Here is an 18,474-nt window from a genome sequence, read left to right as displayed (position 1 = left end):
CTTCCCAGGCATTGTTGTCAGCTCAACAGACCTGCCCAAGGTAATGCCTGGCCCCACACCTCTACTGATAGCTTGCATCTGGCATCCTTGTCATTTTGACTTGACCCTAAAGGACCATCTCAGTTGCCCAGTTTCCATGGAATTGGCTGAGGCCTTTGCTATGATAACATCATAGTTCAAATTCTTCCTCTTTCCAATCCTGTTCCTTTACTCTTACGTTTGTATTGTACCATTGTAGGTGGTCTCAGTGGTGTGCTAGTAAATGTTTAACAGACAGCTCTCTAGAGCCCTGACTTGTAGTGTCTGCCAATTTCCATGGTGTAAATACTCCCATTGTGGCCAATTTCAAGCTACCAATCTGATGTCACTGAATGAGGAATTAGAAAGAAATGTGCACAATTAGTTCTTATCACAGTGCAAGCCAGCTCCAGCCACCCCTACCAATTTTCCCAGTGGAATTCCTAAATACAAATCTCTACCTCAGTCTTTTTTCAGGGTAACCTAAACTAAATCAACAGAAAACCATCAATTATTTTCATATTATTTTTATTTATTTTAAAACTAACATTTTACAGGCACAATAAAGTGAAATTGGTCGTTTCAAATGTTTCAGTGAAACATACATTTCTCTCTGTCCTTCTCACACACACAAAGACACATGCACACACACACACACACACATGCACACCCCACGTACATCAGGACACCATAAGACAATGTCCCGCAATAATTACCTAAAAATATTTAAAATACAGACTCTTTAATTTTCTAAACATTATGCAGCTGAGTAGGGCATTCTAAAGAACAGACTTCAAATTGTTCTTACTGTTTTGAGACCAGGAAACATTGCCAAGAATTCACCAGATGCTGTTCTTAATTGCTGTTGTTACAATTGTTATTATTGCTATAAATCAAAATGTATATTTAAGAGTTAATGTTTCATCATCATCGGAACTTAGGTTTTTAAATCAGAGTAGGCCATTTATAACATTTGCTATCTCTGAAGAAAAATACAAAAGAATATTGTTCGTTTGAAGAACTGTTAAGACTTTTACCCTACTGAAGAGCTGTTGTTGGAATAAATAATCAGAGGTTGAAGGTTGTTTTTTAAAGAGCAGGAAAAGAAAACAGAAGAAAGATACTACATTCAGGCCGGGCACGGTGGCTCACGCCTGTAATCCCAGCACTTTGGGAGGCCGAGGTGGGAGGATCACCTAAGGTCAGGAGTTCGAGACCAGCCTGACCAACAGGGAAAAACCTTGTCTCTACTAAAAATAGAAAATTAGCCATGCTTGGTGGCACATGCCTGTAAACTCAGCTCCTCAGGAGGCTGAGGCAGGAGAATCGCTTGAACCCGGGAGGTGGAGGTTGCAATGAGCCGAGATCTTGCCATTGCACTATAGCCTGGGCAACAAGAAGAACAAAACTCTGTCTCAAAAAAAAAAAAAAAAAGAAAGAAAGAAAAGAAAGATACCACATTCAAAGCAAATGGGCATCTTATAGGGAATGATACAGAAAACTGAAGAAGGCATAATTTTACCCAAATGAATCGCAGATGGTTCTTCAATATTGGATCAATTTTTGTAGAAAGAGAAGTTACTTGGAAAATGGGAACAAAATGTCCCAATGAGAAGAGAAGGTTGACTGTGGAATAAATTAATTTTACCAGTATATATACACTTAATTATGAACAAGAGAATCAGAACAAGGTTCCTGCTATTAGAGTCAATTGGTTTATCAAATTAGAGTTTGAATAATGTTCTTAAATTTTGGCATAGATTAGAATCACGCAGGAAGGCTGGTTAAAAATGTAGATTCCTGGGCACTACAACTATTATGTTTCAGTAAAGGTCTGGTGTAGGGCCTAGGGGTATGGATTTTAGCCAGCTTCCTAGTAAATTCCAAAGCCTGTCGTCTCTGTAAAATCAAAGCATGCTGAAAGGCAATATGGTTAAACGTCCATGACACCATCGTTTCATAATGAGATTAGGAATAAGTCTATGCCATTTCCTTATTATACAGAGATAGCCTCCTTACAAATATCATCTGGAACCTTTATCTTCTGCTTTCCTGAGGTCATTTTCAAGAACATCTTCCATTTATTTCTCAACCAACCAGATTTTCATAGTTGCTTACTCCGTAAAGGAAAAATGCATATGTGTATGTGTGTGTGCATGTGTGTAAATGTGAACAGAAGGGCTGAGTGCGCATAACATTATAGAAAATTCTCTTTTCCAACAGATCTAACCAAAGACACATTTTTGGCTCTGATATAATTAGAGCTAAGGTCGGGGCGGTGATGTAGAGGGTAATGGTTGATGATATAATTATCAAGACTCAATAATCAAATAATTTTAATCATGAATTAAAATCATGAATTAAAATCATGAACTTATTAGCCTAGCATTTGAGAGCTTTTTCTTAAAAAAATTAAAAATCTCATTATTCACAATCACCCTCCTAATTAACCTTATTCTATATGACATATACTCTAATATTATTGGCCCTGTGGAGCTTGGGCACCTTCTAATGCACTGTGGAAGCATTCTACTTGGATTATACCTGTATATCAACAGTTGTTCTCATACCTGTATATTCAACATGGACTCTCTAACAGAAACAGGTCCTTTTGTTTTGTACATTGCAGTGTAATAAATTGCCCCTGTACTCTTGAATCTTGATGAAAAGAGACTAACTTCCTCCCTGCCTTCCATGCTGGGTAGGTAAGTAGTTTCCCACAATGAATTAGACCCAATATCCTCCATGAAAGTAATAATAGTGGACATTCCTGCTCATGAAGACACATGTCTAGGGGCTTAAAACTTGAAGTGTAGATGTGAAGGTGTGTGTAAACATCACAGACAGATCCAGAAAGAAAGGAAGATGTTTATTGCTTTCCATACCTTGTGGAAGGACTAGATATCTCGCTGTCTTTTTGACCTCCTGTTTCCTTTATAGAACGCAAGGCATTTATGCATTTTGGACAATTCATTTAAATGCACATATTCAAGATAAGAACAGTATGTCTCCCTTTCTTTGCATATTTATGACACATTTTATTTGCACAAATAATACTGCATCAGTTTCATTGAGAAAAGTTGGAATTTTGTTATCAAAATCATTGGATGGGAAACTGCATTTTCAGAACCCACTTCTTTTCCTCTTTCACTAACGGTATTCCTTACAACTTGTAAACATTCATGAAGAACTCTATCATTGTGATCCATTTTTAAACCAATGCACCCACTTGGAGTTATAATTTCCCCATAAAAACTTTCCATGCTGATCACTTTTTTTCCTTTAATACGCTTTGAGCATCAGGGCACACTGCTCCATCCATCGCAGGCGCTGCGGGTGGAGTTTCTATCTCAGTGCACAGCATGAAAGCTTGGGTCCATCTGTGCCACACAAAACCAAGCCTCTCTTGAAGTGATTTGTTTACAGTGTCATTTGATGGAGTGGAATGTTCTGCAACTCATTCGAACTGTTACAGAAGCTTTGCTAAAAGGTCACCACTGCTCTCTAGAATTTCCAAATCTGGGCACCCTCTGGGAGCTTGTTAAAGATAAGGTTCTCCATGGGCTTTTTCCATACAAACTAGATCAGATTAACAAGAGGCTACTTTTCCATAGAGGTTTGTGTTCATGTTGAGAAGGAGAGCAAGAAAGAGAGAACACAAGTAAATTACAGTTAGTTACCTCAAAGTGTGCAAGCCCACTTTCTCCCAATTCAGAGGGCATGTAACAAGTGATAGTACAATTTAATAGGCCTAAACAAGTGTGTTGGTCTTGAAAAAGTCAGAATTTGCTTTTAAATGTCCTTCTTGAATCAATGCATTCTTCAAATATAGTCTTGGGAGTCGATTCTAAAGGACACTGAATTTCACCATTTACTCAAAATTCAATAGGAAAATGACAACTAATTCCTTAAGGTAATAGAGGCTGTGCAGGGTAAGCATTCACCGTGCACTGCACCAACAAGGTTCAAATTGTTGTAACTACCATTTTAGTCTAGACCTAAAAGTGTCTTGTGCTTGCTTTCTGCCCCTTTTCTTATGAAACAAACATCTTGAATTTTCCAAACCTCAAAAGCTCAGCTGTAAAACTGTAGGAGACCAGCAAGAGGAAAAGGAAAATTTCCTTCAAAGACGTCTCTAGTCGCAGTTGATCAGTTCTGCTTTCCCCCTCGAAACATTAACTATGTCTTTTGACACTTGTCTGTGAAAAACGTCCAAATGTGACAAATGGTAGAAACAACATTTCTTTACCCTCCTGCCTGGAACTTCCCATGATACAGATGAGATCTAGCTGATGCTTTTATGAGTGGAACAAGGAAGGTGGCTACTGTCCACCACACTCACTTACATCTGCAGATGGAATAAGTAAACACATAGTGAACTTACTGAATAAAAATTTTAAATTCTCTCATTTGCATTTGGTTGGAATCCCTGAAAGGGTCTGCACAGTAGCAGCTAAAACACAGGCTTATTGCCATTAAAAATATTCTCAGAAGTGTGTGTGTGTGTGTGTGTGTATTTCTAGTAGAATACTTGGAAGAAGAGAGACTTAAATCTGGAATCATGTTTTTGTCTCTGCAGTCCAAGCTGGAGACATTAAAAACAACAACGTCTCCCTCAGTTCAATCAAGCTGGTCTGGGAACCAAAATTGTCCTGAGGAAGGGGGAGAAATCCATTTATATTCCTTGTGAGGCAAGGAGGGAGGTCTTTCTCGCAAAGTCTTTATGTGTCATTCAGGACCAGGAAACTTAATCTTCGAGTTCAAAGCTCGTCTCATCATAGAGCTCAGGACGTGCTGACTTCTTGTGCCGGGAATATTTCAGTTGCAAGAGATCACCCATTTCATCAAGAGCTTCTAAAACCTGCAATGAGATTGCTTTCCAATAGCTATCATTGAACACCTAAGTAGCCCTGCTTTGCAGAGCCCAGATTAATAGCAAGCCTCACAAAGACACACAGTCTTAGTTTGCTAGCTTCTTTGATTTTAAAGAAAAGAAGCAAGATCCGTACCATTAGGTTGTGGTTTAAGACCCTAGAGGAATGTTAGATGCTAATTAATTTTATTTAGTGGTCTAACTCCATACTATGAATGTTTATTTTATTTTGAGAGTGTGAAGAGAAGAATAAAAACATGTGACCCATGCTTACCCTTAAAAGGTTTTATTTTAAAATGTAGTGACTTATATGTAGTCTTGTGGAAGAAAAAGATAAGGTTGCAGAATGCATTTGAAGTTATATCTTCATGACACAGCAAATCACCTGGCCAAGAACAAAGAGGAATGTTGCGGGAGCTGATTAACATCATCCTCTGTCCTCTCATGCTACCCCAGGCCTCCTGCTTTTAAATACTCATCTCTGTGTCCCAGAAAATACTAGAACTTAACTCACAGGGACTGAGAACTTGTCTGTTTCAACTCTCTTACTTTAGGTGGGTACATGTATCCCCCATTTTGCACATGAAACAAATGAGATCCAGGAAGTAAAAAAAGGTCATTTTCTGAGAACACATGGACACAGGAAGGGGAACATCACACACCAGGGACTGTTGTGGGATGGGGGGAGTGGGGAGGGATAGCATTAGGAGATATACCTAATGCTAAATGACGAGTTAATGGGTGCAGCACACCAACATGGCACATGTATACATATGTAACAAACCTGCACGTTGTGCACATGTACCCTAAAACTTAAAGTATATTAATAATAAAATAAAAAAAAGGTCATTTTCAATTCTAGTATATCACCAATCCTGTGGTATTGGTCATGCCTTTTTAACCTTTCTGAGCCTGTTTTTCTTAACCTGCCAAATGAGGAGGAAGATAATATTAGGGTCTAATGCTTTGAAAAGGTAAGGTGAGGGTTGTTAATGTTAGAATGGGTGACTAATAGATCTTATGGACTTTCCTCTTTGGGAAATCTTTCAAACTGACATTAATTAAGATTTCCTCCAACTTGTTAACAGTAATTGATTTCTTGGTGGTAGGAGTATGAGTATTTAAAATGTTCTTCCCTGTTTTTCTAAATTTCCTACATCAAATCTCAGTACTAAGAAAAAGTAACCAAAGTTATCTTTAAAATGACACCTCTCTGGGATAGTTTCTAGCAATCTTTGCTGAAGGTGGGGGATGGACTAGTTCAGTGGTATCCAAAGTGAAGGATCTGCACATTTGGGGCATCTGTGAGATAATTTATGGAGGATGCAGGAGGAAAACATTAGGATTTCTATTTTTTTTTTTTTTTTTTTTTTTGAGACAGCGTCTCACTCTGTTGCCCAGGCTGGAGTGCAGTGGCATGATCTCGGCTCACTGCAACCTCCGCCTCCCGGGTTCAAGTGATTCTCCTGCCTCAGCAGTTCGAGTAGCTGGGATTACAGGCACATGCTACTACGCCTGGCTAATTTTTGTATTTTTAGTAGAGATGGGGTTTCACCATGTTGGCCAGGCTGGTCTCGAACTCCTGACCTCAGGTCATCCGCCCACCTCAACCTCCCAAAGTGCTGGGATTATAGGCGTGAGCCACTGCGCCCGACCTCTATTCATTTTTATCTCAACCTTTTAAACTTTTATTTGTGTGTCTCTTATATAATGTACGTAATATATTGGTATTGCATAGATCATTTATAAAGAATTTATGTTAATGTCTGCTGATCCAAGACCACCCAGAACACACTCGTGCTCAGAGTTAGGTTTCTTTAGCTTGCTGAGATGGGAGAGGGAGGACACTGCAGAAGAACCGTGGGCATCTTAGTGACAGGAAGATGGGAGTGGCTTCTCACTGCATTTGAGCTTGTGCCTGAGATGACTCTAAGGAAGCAGGGACCAGTTCTGGGTTGGATGCTGTTAAGAAGTGGGAGCAGTTCACTGGCTGGCTATATATTTATAATTTCTATCTGAAAGGCGAGAGAATGAAAGCGAGGCTAGAGTTGTTATTGGTGAATGAGCAACTGTCACACATGTCAGTCAGAAGAGGGAGACATTAAGTATTGTGGCCTTGTCTCTGTCTTGTCCAAATGTGGTCGCAGAGTGCATTTGTCTAATATTATTTCTAGTCTATGAGCCTTTAGGTTCAATTGCTACCTTAATGTACTGGCTGTTCATCAGGGTCATTTTCCATTTTCTCTTACATGTACATTAAGGAACTGCTCAAAATTTTCTGTTGAGATGGGCACATGATCTCAACAGTTTAGAGGCATTTGTCTAGATGACTGATGTCTCAGTATCCTTTCAAAGCAGGTGTTTTGCAGCAATTAAGAAGTTGTGAAGAGAATCACATACATGAATACCTCAGTGCTGCTTGGAGCACAAAATTACAAATTCATCCATGCTGTGTGTCCCTCCTGCCATCTCAGGGAACTTGCTTCCCGGCCATGCTCTCTTCTCTCCCTTCTGTGCAAGGTCCCCTCTTCACTGTCTTCTTCCCTTAATGTGTAAACATGCTCAAGCCTTCTACATTTTCAAGGGTATTTTCTAAACCTATTTTTCTTTCTACAGTCAGACTTCTTGAAAGTTTTGCCTGTCTTTTCTTAACACCAACTCATTTCATTTAAAAGAAACAATTTGTTAAAATTCACATTCTGGAAATACATACTCATTTTAGAGAATCTGGGAAATATAGAAGGGTGTAAAGAAAACAAAGTTCACTCATCTCAAAATCTGGTTAGCTCAGTTGTTAACATGCTACTCAATAATTTGTACTGTGTACCTACTGTGTACAATACAATGGTTTATGTTTTGAGGCTATACTGGTGAAGACGAAGGACATGGCAACTCTGTGTGTGTGTGCGTGTGTGTGCACATGTGTACGTGTATAATTTCAAACTCAAGTTATCCTCTTTACTCTTTTATTTTTTTATTATTTCTGTTCCCTTCATTCCCTTAAAATGCCTACTCTATGGAACATCAAGTTCCTACTAATTGCTAATCCAATAGTTTCTTCTCATCACTCACTGCATTTAAACTTCCTGCAGTTTTGAGGGGCATTTTGACCCTCCTCCTTCTTGAAACTTTCTCCTCTGTATGGAGTTTAATACTACACTGAACATGTCTTTCCTGACTGCTCTAGTTCCATGTAAGTCTGGGTCCCCACCTGCGATTCCTGTATCTACCCTGGAATGTAGGCACTCCCCAGGAGTCTGCCCTGTTCACTCTTGCTCATATCTGGACAATTACATCTTCTACTGTTGGCTGTAAGGATCCCTCAGTTCCCTAAACTATAGCAGTTCCAGCTTTGCATACTCTCCTAAGCTCTAGAACCTTATTTTTCTTCTATAGGTGGACCATGGACACATAGTCTCAACATGTCTAGGACTGAGCTCATTCTATTCCCCCACTCCCATTGAAAATTTGCTGTTCCTTACTGTATACCTTATCTCATTTAAGTGCTTCACCATCCTTCTATTCATCAGGGCTAAAGACCTCAAATTGTCTTTGATTCTCTCTTCCCACATATGCACCACATCCAATCATTTGTCAAGTCATGGCAGTTCCATTCATTTGTAATATTTGTTCATGGATTAGTTTCTTTTGTTTCCACTACCATTAGCCTTGTCATCTCTTGTTTTGTTTAAATAGCTACATCTTAGATCCTTTCCTTTTGCCCCTTTCCTCTCCAGTTCATTTGTCACGTTTATTTCATAATGACATGATTGTGTCACTCCACTGATTGGAAGTCTTGAATGATGCTCGATAAGCTTTATTAAAAAGGCCTGGCTCAAAAGCCACCTCCCCTGTGAATCTTCTCCACTCTAATAATTCACCCCACCTTCATGATCCCACAGTTTTCTATATTTCTTCTTCAAGATTCATTCATTCTGTCTGGTATTATATGTGTTGCTTGTTTATTAGCATCTTCTCCTAGACTTTTTGCCCCAAGTTTGCACATAGTTGACTCTCAATAGTGTTTGCAAAACTGCATTTATGTTATGTGACTCTTCCCATTAACTCCAAACTGAGTAGATGGCTTAGTTCTCTGATATTACTCATTCACATAACAATGGAAATCGAGGGACAATAAAAGGCAATTTTAAAATCATTTCCACCTCACTTAGGTGCTGCTGTAATGTAGATTTGTTCTTGTTGGTTTTCCAACATGTTGCTTAGTTGGGTCATATTTTATTATGGCAGATTTAGTGGCTATGAAAAATGTCAGGATGCATGTAATTAAGTCTAAAACAGCATTTTAGACCAGCTTTTGCATTTAAGATCAAGTAAATAGAAGAACATTTGGCTACTCAGTCAGTCTTTTGTAGGAAACCAAAACACTGATTGAAATCTTCACTAAACTGATTTTCATTTCTATCTACTGAGTGGTCACAGTGTTGGCTGTTGTTGACGAGCTCTTGTTTTTTGGCAGTGACTTTTGTCAGTGTTGTTTTCCTAAATAACCCAAGAGAAACCCAGAGAACCCCAAGCTGTCTCAACAAAAGGACTTGCTTTGAATCCAAGGTACTGGTACTGAGATCCCGTTGGCCTGTGGTGTACTCACCGTGTCTAACATCTCCCGGGTATGTGCCGCTGAAACACAAAACCGAGCCCGAGCTTCTGCGAGGGGAGTGGCTGGAAATCCCACGACCACCACTCCAATTTTTTTCTCTAGCATATGCCTTGCAAAAGCCCTTAAGGAAAAGCAAAAAAAGAAAAAAAAAAAGTGGTTAGTTGGGAAAAGACAAAATTATCCTGACAAAAAAGGAATATGGCTAATTGATTTTTTCTTTTTTCTTTTTTCTTTTTTATGATAATAAGTGGAAGATGATTGAAGTTTTTAAACTTCTGTCAAATAAAATTGACAAATAAACAGGCAGTCAGTCACTTGGTGCCACTCATGATGGTGTGTGTGTGGTATTATGGGTCTGACACACTCATTAGATAATTGTGGATATTGAGTCTTTGACACCAAGCAGAAAATGCTGATGTTTATGACTCTGGTTTAACAAATCTGCAGTGATATAAAATCCATCTGCAGGGTCCCTAGGTATAAAAACCAAATAGTTCCTATAATGCAATTCCATAAAGAAAGAATCTATATTAATTGTAAACCTATATGTTTTATAAACTTAATACCAATAATACAATGTGGAAATTTCAATGAGCCTATACTTAATGAGTATAATTTGAAGACCAAGATCAGAGGGTCTGTAGTATCCAACCCCAAGCCAATATTCCCACTGCAGCGCCAAAGATTATATTTTCCATCAAATCAGAGATAAGAAATAGCAAGGTCTCCTGATTGTTTCATATGTGAATGAACATGCCCAGGGATGCACAGGGATAATAAACTCAGCAACTGAGTTTAAGAGGAATGGGGCAGAAAGGAGGCCAGGAAAGAAGTGTTCACGCAGAGAACCTTACAGCCTATAGGACGTTAAGTCATAGAACTAGAAAGCGGTCTGATGCAGAGTAAAACCTTCATAAGCTATGATTCCTTCCCTTTATCCTTCTAGTCTATTTCTTTTCCAGAGCTAATCTCTGTAACAATTCTAGAATATCAAGCTCAAAGGCTGTAAATATCTTGTGCTGAGAGCCAAGGTCAGACAAAAAGGCATGTACTCCCAAGTGACTCTTTTTCCCCTTTGGGCTCTGTTAGTCTTTGCAGGAAAACTTAACTACTGAGTGACTTTACCCATAAGTGAGGTAAATGCCTCAGATCTGTTCTTAGCATTAAGAGATTGCTGGTGTATTATTTTAGGCTGGAAGCTGACAGCACCAGAGAAACATTCCAATCACAGCTCAGGAAGAATTCTTGAACCAGACGTGGAGAATAAGCCTGCTCTTCCATTCACTTGTTTTGCTGTTGAGCAGTCTGCCTTTTGGTTGTTTCAGATAGAACATAGGTTATCAGATGAAGCAATGGAGACTGCAGGACCCACAAGACACACAGCCTCTCTGGCTCCCTGGCTTGGGCGAGGCAACATTAGCCCTTTGATTTCAACTAGGAAGGTTAGAAGGAGATGAAGCTTTCTAGCTGAGAAAGCTTGAAAACAGAGGCTGTTCTTTCTCTTTCTTGATCACCCTATGGAAGGCTGCCCACGGAACTGCACAGAATGAGAGCTCATAATTGTCTGAGAAACAAGTCAAGTGCTTTTATTGCTAGAGTACAAACCACCTGACCCATGATCTCAGGCCAGTTTTCAGGACTCCCAGAAGACCGCTTTCACTGTCTGCATGTTTCTCTTTGTGCCAAAGGAAGCACGTTTTGCCAAAGAATGCAGGGCAAAATATATGACTCTGTTGATTCATTAGTCTAACCTGGCGTCTCCCTGGAGCATTTTTGAATTTAAACCTTACACTACTAAAGCTAGTGTTCTTAAGTTAATATATATGATTGCACTGGAAATTTTATATAATGAGCCTCTGTGTTTGTACTCCCCAAAGCAATTGGCAATAGGCTAAAAGAAACTAAACTTTGTGAAATAATAATAATGATAATAAACATTAGCATTGCATTGTATGCAGAATCACTACCTCTTGTATAACACCATCTTCCAAGTGTATTACATGAACAGGGGAAAAAATGCAAACCCTTTACCAAGTACCAAATACAATATATTCTTGATTGTTTAAGTGTATGTTTTATGGGTAAAACCACATTGCACAGCTCTATAGAAGATTCCAGTGGTAGAGTTATAACAAGGCTTTGTTCAAAAGGATAACTGGCTACAGACTATATTTTCATTCTGCATAGTAGGAAATGTGGAGAGATCACCATTCTTTAATAAAATCAAAGGTTTTTAAATGACCAAATGGAAGAAGTGCTTCCACAGTGGCTTATACAATTAACGCCCTATTTCAAAAAATGTCTCTACATATAAACTTCCAACAAAGAAATATCACAGAAGGAAACACAGCCAGACAGCAGGGCAAACTCTTGCCAGCAACTCCTACCTGTAATAGATAATATTACCTTTTGTAACTAACCTGTTCTGTTTCCTTAGGTGACCCAGATTTTTTTTTTTTCTGTTTGTAGTGATTGTTGCCTTTTGAATCACCAATGATGACATTAAAAATAATTAGACTCTGTGTTGCTTTAATGAGATGTGCATTTTTTTCCTATGGACTAAAGCTTGAGAGGTTGTGCTGTGTGTTCAAAAGAGCTCTAGTTTATGAAGCAAATGGAACTGGCTTTGAATTCTGGGCTCTGCTGCCTACAACCTGTGTGAGTCTTAGAGAGTAATTTTTTTTTTGACATGGAGTTTCACTCTTGTTGCCCAGGCTGGAGTGCAGTGGTATGATCTTGGCTCACTGCAACCTCCACCTCCCGGGTTCCAGCGATTATCCTGCCTCAATCTCCCAAGTAGCTGAGAGTACAGGTGCCTGCCACCATGCCCAGCTAATTTTTTTTTTTTTTGTACTTTTAGTAGAAACAGGGTTGGCCAGGCTGGTTTCAAACTCCTGACCTCAGGTGATCCATCTGCCTCAGCCTCCTAAAGTGTTGGGATTACAGGCATGAGCTACCGTACCCGGCTTTAGAAAGTAATTTGACCTTTCTAAGTCTTAGCATCTTCATTTATAAACTAGGGCTAAACATCCTACCCTCCGTGGGTAATCGCTGAGGTCTAATAGCCTTACTTAGCATATATTTAGTACTCTGTGATATTAGCTCTTCTTAAAAAACAATCTTAAGTTGAAAGAAACAAGATTGTTTGACATATTATCCAGCATCTAATATAGCAATATGGAAGCAGAGTGTAGCAGGATCTTTACCTACTATTTTTTCTGGACATTTTATTTTGAGTAATGCAACCAAAAATTGTAATAATTATTTTGGAGAGCCATGCAACCGTGGTGATTCAACCTTGCGCTCAGTTGAAACTGATAATGATCATCATTGTTGCAGAGTAGTAGTGAAATGGCTACCACTGATTGAATGCTTATGGCATGCCAACTACTATATTAAGTGCTTTGTACACATTACTAAAAATGACATTATTAATGACTTTATTAATTGATGCTATTAATAATGAAAGCTAACACTGAATAGCTCTTATATAAGAGGTAACATGCCAAATGCTGTATGGACATCATTTTGTTTAATCTTCACAGTAACCTTATGAAATAAGATACTATCATATCCCGTTTTATAAATGAGAAAACTGGAGCTTCAGAAAGCTGAGTAACTTGTCCAAGAATCCCCAGCTAGGAAGAGGAAGAATCAAATTTCTTTTTGATTCCAAACCTTTCATCACACCATAGAGCATAACTTTTATATGAAGCATATCGTTCATAGCATATTGTGTGAATTCTTGAAGTTACATGCATTTGTTTTCACTACTTACGGACTCTTCTCATTGGGTTGGTTCATTTTTCCAACCTGTTGGGATTCTACTTCTGGCTTTTATTATTAAAGTTGGAACTATCCAGAACACTCCCTACTGTCATTGTAACACTCCAGAATTATGTGTTTTATACCTTGGACAAGTTTATTTTCAGTGCCTTCTTTTGAGCTAATGATAAAATATTAGATAAACCTGAGCCAAGTTTGGAATATTTCTTCCAACACACATCATTTCCCCAATCATTTTGAATAAATGTATGTGTGTCTGTGTGTGTGTGTGTGTTTGTATGTGTCTTCAAAAATCAGATGGTTAAAGATCTTTGAATTGTCTGCTACTTTCAATCACTGTTGTCAACCCTCCTTAACATTATCACAGAGCAGTATGATATATAACATGTCTGTAGCACATTATGTCCTCAGATACTTCATGCAATGTTTTCCTGACCCAGATCTGTGAACAAAGGGCCAACTGGTGGGAATGATGTGGCATGCTAAAAAACTTATTATTATTATTATTTTTTTAGACGGAGTCTTGCTCTGTTGCCCTGGCTAGAGTGCAGTGGTGCAATCTCGGCTCACTGCAAGCTCCACCTCCCAGGTTCATGCCACTTTCCTGCCTCAGCCTCCCGAGTAGCTGGGACTACAGGCACCCACCACCACGCCCGGCTAGTTTTTTGTATTTTTTGTAGACACGGGGTTTCACCATGTTGGCCAGGATGGTTTCGATCTCCTGACCTCATGATCTGCCTGCCTGGGCCTCCCAAAGTGATGGGATTACAGGCATGAGCCACCGCGCCCAGCCTTCATGTGTGTTTTAACTGCTTGTGATTTTGCTGTGGTAAAATGACCCAAGAGCATACTCTGAAGAATCTGTCTTTTAGGAACTTATAACTCAGTCTTGCCCTCCATGAGTTTTCACAAGTAAGACCCAAACCTCTTTTATTGGTACTTTTCAATACTTCAAGTACTCTGCCAATCTAGTCAGGCTATTAGAGAGTCAAACAGAAAGTTCCAGCAATGGGTTACATTGGAGGGGAGTTAGGACCTCTAGAATCTGATGCGTAGTATGTTGAATATGAATTTCTATCATGTGCTTGGTCAGAGATAAAAATAAACATTTTACCTTGAGAAAGGAGCTTAGTTAACTTCCTTTTTTTTTTTGACAGGGTCTCATTCTGTCACCCAGTCACCTAGGCTGGAGTGCAGTGGCACAATCTCTGCTCATGCAACCTCTGCCTCCTGGTGTCAAGTGATCCTCCTGCCTCGGCCTCCCTAGTAGCTAGGACTACAGGCATGCACCACCATGCCCACCTAATTTTTGTATTTTTAGTAGAGACAGGGTCTCACCATGTTGGCCAGGCTGGTCTCGAACTCCTGACCTCAGGTGATCCACCTGCCTCAGCCTCCCAAAGTGCTGGGATTACAGGCATGAGCCACTGTGCCCTGCCAGTTAACTTCCTTTTAACAACATGTAATTAGTATAATTACATTAGTCTCCAGCAGGTTGGAGAAGGGCTCATGTATAAAATTGTCCCTGCCAAACTGACAAAAAGTCATGTTTTCCTCTTTATGCAGTTGTTGCTAATGCTGTTTCAAAGTTGCAATCAAGTAAACAACCCCCAAACAGGTTCACAGTAAGGGCATGAGAAACTGAGCATGAGCTTCAATGTGAGCCTCAGTTTGGGTTTTTGCATCTTAGTTTTACTGCTGTTTGACTTGTGTGACTTTGGGCAGGTTGCTTAACTGCTCTCAGCCTCAGCTTCCCCACGCTTGAAATGAGAATGTCCTCTTCTGAGGACGGCTGCAGAGTTCAATGGGAGAAAGCACAGAGCCTGATCACATTGTTTTTATGGTAATATGGGGAGAGATGATCTTCAGAAGTTCTCCCTGAGAACGATCTTGGGTCAGAAGGAGGCTCAGGATTGTGCTTAATTTACAGGTGAGGCTGAGGGAGATAAGTGATTTCCCTAAATTCACAGAACTTGAATTTAGGGAGAGAGCTCAGTCTCAGCACCTTTGGTTCCCTTTCTATAAGACCTGTGGGAAGGGTCTAGCTGATAGAGTGACAGGTGGCTTCCGAGAAGCCGTACGAGTGAATTCTGAACTCACTCACCCCATTCCAGATGCATAATCTAACGCCTGTGCCAAAAAGCCATCTTAGGTCACCTTGGGGTTTAGGTGTGATTATGAGATGCCTTGGATACTTACGCTACTTTACCAGGCATATAAAGAAGCAGAGGAACAACAGAAGCATTCTCATTGCCATAGATAATGAATCCCATTTCCTGCAGTCTTTGTCTGAAGTATCTTGTGTTTTTCGCAAGTTGCTGTACTCTCTGCAGCCCTGAAAAGAGACAGGCGTGAAATCCATCAATTCCCACTAGAAAGAGGGAAGTAAAGGTCCGGTCAACTTGGCAAGCATCTTTAAGTCTTTCTGCAGGCCAGCAGCACTAGCTGGGAGGAGGAAGTAGGGAAGGGAGATATCTCCTGGGGAGCAGGTGTGGGCACTGATGCCCAGGTACTACCTTGCACCTGGAAGGCAGGAAGGGAGGTGGAGGGTTCTACGAGGTGCTGCAAGCAACTGAAGCCAGGATACGCTAGAGGGCTGGTGGGAGGCAGGGGAGGTATCTATTTTGTATAGACTCTGTGCAAAGTACCTTAAAAACATCAACTCAAGAGAAGGGAGTGTGATAAGAAGGAACATAACCACTTCCCCCACCCCCCACACTTCATAGCAGATATTGGTAGATGCTTTTTAGCTAAGCTGAATTGGCTCATTAAATTGTCCCTCATTTAAATCTCTAATCAAAGGATCCTTCATCCAATCTGAATTTGTAGGGATAGCATATTCATAGACAAAGATAAGTCCTGCTGAGATTAGGGCTGTTTTTTGAGGCATTTGGTGGTAGACTAATAGAAGGGAGGAAAGAGGGGGACCCCTGCTTTCCCAAGCCAGAAAAAAGGACAACATTGGCCCAGAACAGAAAGACAAGCAAAGTACATACATGGGTCCATGTCAAGGTTATTGGTGCTTCAGCTCTTATAGCCTGTGTCCTAAGTGTGTGTCCCAGTGCAGAGTTCACGCATGTGAGATGAAAAAGTGATGAAAGAGCAGAAAGTCCCATCCTGAAGATGCCTGTCTACTCGGGTCCTGCTTCAAAACAGGTGGGTAAGTAAGCCAGCCAAAGCTAGATAGTGTTTGCTCAATAAGAATGAATAGGATTAAACATTGAAGTCCCCTAGAAATCAGCCCAAAGTTTGCATTTGATGCAGGATTGCTGTTCGGCAGGAATGTGCCACTACAGTCTTTCGTCTTATTGGTTGTCTTTAGCAGACCTCCATTCTGAGTGGTGAGATGTTCAGACGAACTGGTCAGAGATTCTGCTCTAGAGGTTATACAATATTTTGAACATCACTCATGGGTGTTTGTAACTCTTCAGATGGAAATAGGGTAAACATTTCAGTAAACATGTCAATCATAGTCATCTGGTCCCTTCTTAGAGAAATGGCCCCAGATTGTGCCTTTTCAAAGGGTTGAACAGGGGGCATCTTGTGTTCAGCATCCTCCTCCAGAGAACCATACTGTTTGAGTAGGGTTGGCCCTGCCCTTCCTCTTTTCTACAAGGTGGTATGAGGGCCAGTCTTAATCAGTTGGAATAATTCATCCCCCTGATTATTGGTTTGATGATGGAGCACAACTAGGGACTATTTGAGTCTTTCTTTTAGATCCACTGAGGAAGAAGTCTAAGCATGGGATAATTATCAAGCTACATCTTTGTCCTAACCTGGAGGAAGCCTGCTTGAGAATGATATTGACTCACATAGAAGCCACTGCGCAGGACACTGAGAGTCCTGATGGATCATCTGAACCTTTGGGTCCAGCTGTGCCAGACCATTTTTTTGGACGTCCCTGCTGTGTCAGCCAATACATTTCCTCTTCTGCCTCTTATAACCAAATGTGTCATGAGTAATTCAGGTGGTGGCTACTAATTGGATCAGGTAGCCTCTAAAGGACAATAGTAATAACGACAATAATTATAGCTCACCCATATGTAATGTCACCACTGTTATAAGCTCTTGACATTTATTGATTTAGTCATCACAACAACCAAATTAGTGTAAGAACTGTAATCCTATGTTATACGCAAGGAGAAGCCAAGTAACTTACACAAATTTACATAGTTGGTAGGTGGCCAAGCCAGAATTGGATTCTAGAATCCTAGATTCCAGAATCTGTGTTGTTAGCCCCTCCACTATAATGCTCTACCCAGGTAAGGGATGGTGGTCATTGGTTCTTCTGAAGATCAATAAAACTCTCATTTCTGCCAGCTGTTTGGATTATGATTATATCTTTTTTTTTTAGTAGAGGCAGTTGAGAGTTGAAGGCTGAGCAAGTGTTTGACAGCCTCATGTTGTGAGCGGTTAGGTAAGGTATCACTAGCATAGGATATCGCTAGGTTGGAGTCTAGGGCCCCCTTCACTTTAGGTAGAGGTCCTGAAGGGCTGTGTCCAAGGAGTGAAGGTGAACCAGGTGTAGACAAGCACCCAAAGGGCACTTTCTTTACCCAGACATCTAACATTTTTTCACTAGGCTCTATCACTCCCAAAATACTTCAAATATTCCTTTAAGTTTTCCTTTGCTCATCAGGCCTAAATGAACTTCACTTCTGTGACACCTTAATTGTGTTAACAATATGGTATATGCAGAGAAATGGAGATTTAGTTGAGTGGAACACAGACCAAGGAGGAGGATGCTAAATGCCCCAATTGTCCATGCTTGTTTTCTGTTACTTTCTTTTTCCCAACTCCAGTTCTCAAGGATGATCCCTCCCCAACTCTGCCAGCTCCCAGCAGGCAGGTTGTGATGGAGAGAGCATCCGGCTTATTGTTCTTTCTTAGGGATGCTGACATCTCAGCCCCTCTATCCTGACCACAGACAATGAATGGAGCATGCCCTTGACCCAAAGGCAGTCCACTTGGGTGTTAGCAAGGAAGCCATACACTGGTCTATCATAGGAGCTTTGAAAAAGAGACAATAAATATAAATTAAACAAACCAGATCTTCTTGATATTAGAGTGTGGATGTGAAAAATTTAGAGAGGATGGTAGTAAACTTTAGTTGGTAGTAAGAGTAGAAATTGAAAGACACAGAAAAAAAGCTTATTAGCAGAATCTGTGAGACAGAGTA

The 18,474-nt window shown here is 40.2% G+C and overlaps 2 protein-coding genes across 6 annotated transcripts in view; one reads left to right on the top strand and one right to left on the bottom strand.

The window, feature by feature from the left end:
* Positions 1-18,474, top strand: part of TASP1 (taspase 1) — a 534,161-nt gene that overhangs the window by 469,300 nt on the left and 46,387 nt on the right. The gene's annotated exons all lie outside the window — the stretch shown is intronic.
* Positions 530-18,474, bottom strand: part of SPTLC3 (serine palmitoyltransferase long chain base subunit 3) — a 160,132-nt gene continuing 142,187 nt past the window's right edge. For 3 of the 5 annotated variants that reach the window (NM_018327.4, NM_001349945.2, XM_011529280.2), the window contains 3 exons: positions 15,495-15,630; positions 9,501-9,630; positions 530-4,879 (listed from right to left, as the gene is read on the bottom strand). In NM_018327.4, coding sequence (NP_060797.2) covers positions 4,766-4,879; positions 9,501-9,630; positions 15,495-15,630 — 380 coding nt within the window. In that variant the 3' untranslated portion in view covers positions 530-4,765. Of the gene's footprint in view, positions 4,880-5,161; positions 5,277-9,500; positions 9,631-15,494; positions 15,631-18,474 lie in introns of those variants that run through there. The other 2 variants (XM_011529279.2, XM_047440255.1) reach the window with 1 other exon arrangement.

Source organism: Homo sapiens, chromosome 20 (genome assembly GCF_000001405.40).
Source record: "Homo sapiens chromosome 20, GRCh38.p14 Primary Assembly".
NCBI classification, from domain to species: domain Eukaryota; kingdom Metazoa; phylum Chordata; class Mammalia; order Primates; family Hominidae; genus Homo; species Homo sapiens.
This window is presented reverse-complemented; position numbering and strand designations above follow the sequence as displayed.